Genomic DNA, 4,680 nt, shown 5'->3' on the forward strand with positions numbered 1-4,680 from the left:
ACCAAAGACTGGAAAATTTATAAAGGAAAAAGTTTTAATTGACTCACAGTTTCACATGGCTGGGAGGCCTCAGGAAACTTCCAATCATGGCAGAAGGGGAAGTGAACACAAACTTCTTCACAAGGCAGGAGGAGAAAAAAGTGCTGAAAAACGAGGGTAAAGCCCCTTATGCAGCCATCAGATCTCAGGAGAACTTGCTCACTATCACTAGAACAGCAAGGGGGTAACCACATTCATGATTCAATTACCTCTCAATAGGTCCCTCACATGACATGTATGGATTATGGGAACTACAATTCAAGATGAGATTTGGGTGGGGACATAGCCAAACCATATCATTCTGCCCCTGGCCCCTCCCAAATCTCATGTCTTCACATTTCAAAACACAATCATGCCTTTCCAACAGTCCCCCAAAGTCTTAGCTCATTCCAGCATTAACCCGAAAGTCTAAGTCCAAAGTCTCACCTGAGACAAGGCAAGTCTCTTCCACCTCTGAGCCTGTAAAATCAAAATCAAGTTAGTTACTTCCTAGATACAATGGGGGTACAGGCATTGGGTAAATAGGTCTGTTCCAAATTGAAGAAATTGGCCAAAACAAAGGGGCGGCCCATGCTAGTCTGAAATCCAACAGAACAGTCAGTAAAACTTAAAGTTCCAAAACGATCTCCTTTGACTACATGTCTCACATCCAGGTCACACTGATGCAAAATGTGGGCTCCCACAGCCTTGGGCAGCTCTGCCTCTGTGGTTTTGCAGAGTATAGCCCCCCTCCTGGTTGTTTTCAAAGTCTGGCATTGAATGTCTGTGGTGGTTCCAGACACACAGTGCAAGCTGTTGGTGGATCTACAATTCTGTGGTCTGAAGGATGGTGGCATTCTTCTCACAGCTCCTCTAGGCAGTGGTCCAGTGGGGACTTTGTGTGGGGGCTCTGCTAGGGCACTTCCCTTCTACACTGCCTTAGCAGAGTTTCTCCATGCGGGCTCCGCCCATGCAGCAAACTTCTGCCTGGACATCCAAGCGTTTTCATACATCTTCGGAAATCCAGACAGAGGTTTCTAAACCTCAATTCTTGACTCCTATGAACCCGCAGCCTCAACACTATGTGCAAGCCACCAAGGCTTGGGGCTTGCATCCTCTGAAGCAAGGGACTGAGCTGTACATTGGCCCCTTTTAGCCACAGCTGGACCTGAAGCAGCTGGTAGGCAGAGTACCATGTCCTGAGGCTGCATAGAAGAGGGGTGTCCTGGGCCCAGCCCAGGAAACCATTTTTCCCTCCTAGGCCTCTGGGCTTGTGATGGGAGGTGCTCCCATGAAAGTCTCTGACATGCCCTGGATATATTTTCTTGGCTCCTCATTATTTATGCAAATTTCTGCAGCTGGCTTGAATTTCTCCCGAGAAAATGGGGTTTTCCTTTCTATCACATCCATCAGGCTAAAATTTTCCAAACTTTTATGCTCTGCTTCCTCTTGAATGATTTGTTGCTTAGACATTTCTTCCACCAGGTATCCTAAATCATCTCTCTCAAGTTCAAAGTTCCACAGATCTCTAGGATGGGGCAAAATGCCACCAGTCTCTTTGCATAGCAAATGTCACTTTTACTTCAGTTCCCAACAAGTTCCTCATCTCCATCTGAGACCACCTCAGCCTGAACTTCATTGTCCATATCACTATCAGCATTTTGGTCAAAGCCATTCAGCAAGTCTCTAGGGGGTTTCAAACTTACCCACATCTTCTTGTCTTCTGAGCCCTCCAAGTCTCTAGATTGTTCCAAACATTCCCACATTTTCCTGTCTTCTGAGCCCTCCAAACTAGTCCAGCCTCTGCTTGTTACCCAGTTACAAAGTCACTTCCACATTTTCAGTATCTTTACAGTAGTGTCCCACTCTGCCGTACCTATTTACTGTGTTAGTACATTCTCTTGCAGCTATGAAGAAATACATGAGACTGGGTAACTTATAAAGGAAAGAGTTTTAATTGACACACAGTTACACATGGCTGGGATGGTCTCAGGAAACTTACAATCATGGCAGAAGGAGAAGCAAACACATCCTTCTTCCCAAAGCAGCAGGAGAGAAAAGTGCTGATCAAAGGGGGAAAAGCCCCTTATAAAACCATCAGATCTTGGCCAGGCATGGTGGCTCATGCCTGTCATCTCAGCACTTTGGGAGGCCAAGGTGGGTGGAATACTTGAGGTCAGGGGTTCAGGATCAGTCTGGCCAACATGGTGAAACAACATGTCTAATAAAATACAAAAATTAGCTGGGCATGGTGGCAGGCACCTGTAGTCCCAGCTACTTGGGAGTCTGAGGAAGGTGAATCTCTTGAATGTGGGGGTGGAGGTTGCAGTGAGCAGAGATTTTGTCACTGCATTTCAGCTTGGGTGACTGAGTGAGTGAGACTCCATCTCAAAAAAAAACAAACAAAAACAAACAAAAAAACAACCATCAGATCTTGTGAGAGCTCACTCACTATCATGAGAACAGCATGGGGGGCTAACTGCTCCCATGATTCAATTACCTCCCTCCGGGCCCCTCCCTTGACACATAAGGATTATGGGAACTATAGTTCAAGTTGAGATTCTGATGGGGATGCAGCCAAACCATATCAACCGCTTTTTTGTTAAACAATCCCTGTTGCTGAGTTAAGCATCTTTTACTGCTCTGCACATACTCAATACTTTCCATTGTCCAAATTTTTGCTTAAACCATTCTTTGAAGATTCCCAACTCTTCTTTTGTAGAAATATTAGCCATTCCTCAAAATACAGTACAGGTATCTTCCCAATTCCACATTTCAACTATAGGCAATTAGAAATGCTCCAAATTCTAAAAACACATTGACCACATTGTGATGCAATCATCCTCTACACATATTTATAGTTATTTACCTTACATACCGTATGAATCTGTTCTCCAATTGCTACACAGAACTACCTGAGACTTGGTAATTTTTTTTTAAGAGGTTTAATTGGCTCATGGTTCCATAGGCTCTGTAGGAAGCATGGCTCAGGGAGGCCTCAGGAAATGTACAATCATGGCAGAAGGCAAAGAGGAAGCGAGCATGTCTTTACATGTGGGGGACATGCTACACATTTTAAAACAACCAGATATCATGAGAACTCACTCATTATCATGAGTAGAGCAAAGGGGGAAATCTGCCCCCATGATCCAATCACCTCCCACCAGTTTCCTCCCTGAACTTGGGAATTACAATTTGAAACGAGATTTGGGTGGGGACACAGAGTCAAACATATCACATACTATCACTCTCCAAGGATGGAAGGCTCACTGAAAACTTTAACGTGATTTATATGAGACCATATGTTGGATACAAGGGGTCTCATATATATTCAGAAATTGGAAAAAAATCAATGAATGAATAAATATCAGTTGAAAAGAAGAAATTGATTTTAAGACTTTATACTAAAAACAGTTTTAAATATTCACCTCTGTTAACTCCCATAAAATGATAGTAATTGAAATGAGATCAGAAGTCAGATCCAAACGTTAAATTCAGGTTTTCTAATTACAATGCTTTCCACTTATTTTCTTACAAAATCAACAAATGAGATGTACAAAATTTGAGATAGTTAAAGCTACAGTTATATTATTGGTGAAAAATCTTATAGAGTTTGCAATTCAAATGGTTAATTTTATTTAAACCATTTTTATTTTTACATACAATTAAAACTAAAGAAAAAATAACCAGAACTTAAAAAAGAAAGGAAAAAAGCAAATATAATTTTACATGCATTGTCGTATATCAGACTCAACATATTTTGTTTCTGAAACTTTTATAATGTGGAGGTGTCTCATATTCTCATTTGTATTCTGCCCAAACAGCTGTCATTCACCACCTGCTATACAAAGCCCACTCATACTTTTAAAAGCCTCTAGAATTATATTAAAAAAGATTCTTCCAAATCAGTTAACTGTACTTTAAATGTCACCCACACCTCTGCATGGCAGTCAAAAAAAAGTAACAAAGTGAGAAGGTAAATAACACTAAGCTTTATATTTACTCCCATCCAAATCCACAAAATCTTTCATAAGCTAGCATAATATACTTTGAATTATGCTGAAGGGTTAGAGAGTGAAATAAGCACAGAGGAAAATGTGTGCATGAAGACACCTATATTTTTAAAGCCATGTCTACCTAGAAGCCAAGTTGTTAATCCACAGATGACACTAGGAAGACCAAAATGTTAAGACTGATGACACATCTGAGGAAGACACGCTGCTAACATCAATTTTTCAGTGCTTGTACTCCTGAAGCTAAGTTTATACTTAAAATCCTAGAAGCAACTGGACACTTCTGCAACATCAGCTGCTCAGGAAAAATTCAGACAGCTTCCACCAACATCTCACAGTTGTGGTAGGCATGGGTTGCGCAGGACCTGGGTTCAGTTTCACTACTCTATCCCAAGGAATAGTATATGTTTTTATGAACGTAAAGGGACTTCGTTCTCTTTCATAATTGTGAAAATGGTTCCTCTTAAAAGGATTTCATATGTTTAGTAGAAAAAGAAGGGCAAAAGATGGTCAGGTCAAGAAGTGTGGAAGACACAGAGGCAGTTTATTTTAACAAATGAAAAGAAAAAAGCCTACGCTAATTTGAAATCTTAATAAGGATCAACTTTATATCCCAATTCTCTAGGAAAACAATTGGCAGCAGTGGAAG

General features: G+C 41.2%; 2 annotated features.

Annotated features, from left to right (window-relative positions):
- Positions 891-1,091: a silencer, noted in NCBI's record as "peak604 fragment used in MPRA reporter construct". NCBI's record gives its function as "represses an SCP1 promoter by STARR-seq MPRAs in K562 erythroleukemia cells {active_cell/tissue: K562}" and the evidence as "EXISTENCE:reporter gene assay evidence [ECO:0000049][PMID:32103011]".
- Positions 4,272-4,472: a silencer, noted in NCBI's record as "peak605 fragment used in MPRA reporter construct". NCBI's record gives its function as "represses an SCP1 promoter by STARR-seq MPRAs in K562 erythroleukemia cells {active_cell/tissue: K562}" and the evidence as "EXISTENCE:reporter gene assay evidence [ECO:0000049][PMID:32103011]".

The sequence above is a fragment of the Homo sapiens genome, chromosome 1, assembly GCF_000001405.40.
Source record: "Homo sapiens chromosome 1, GRCh38.p14 Primary Assembly".
In the NCBI taxonomy this organism is placed as follows: domain Eukaryota; kingdom Metazoa; phylum Chordata; class Mammalia; order Primates; family Hominidae; genus Homo; species Homo sapiens.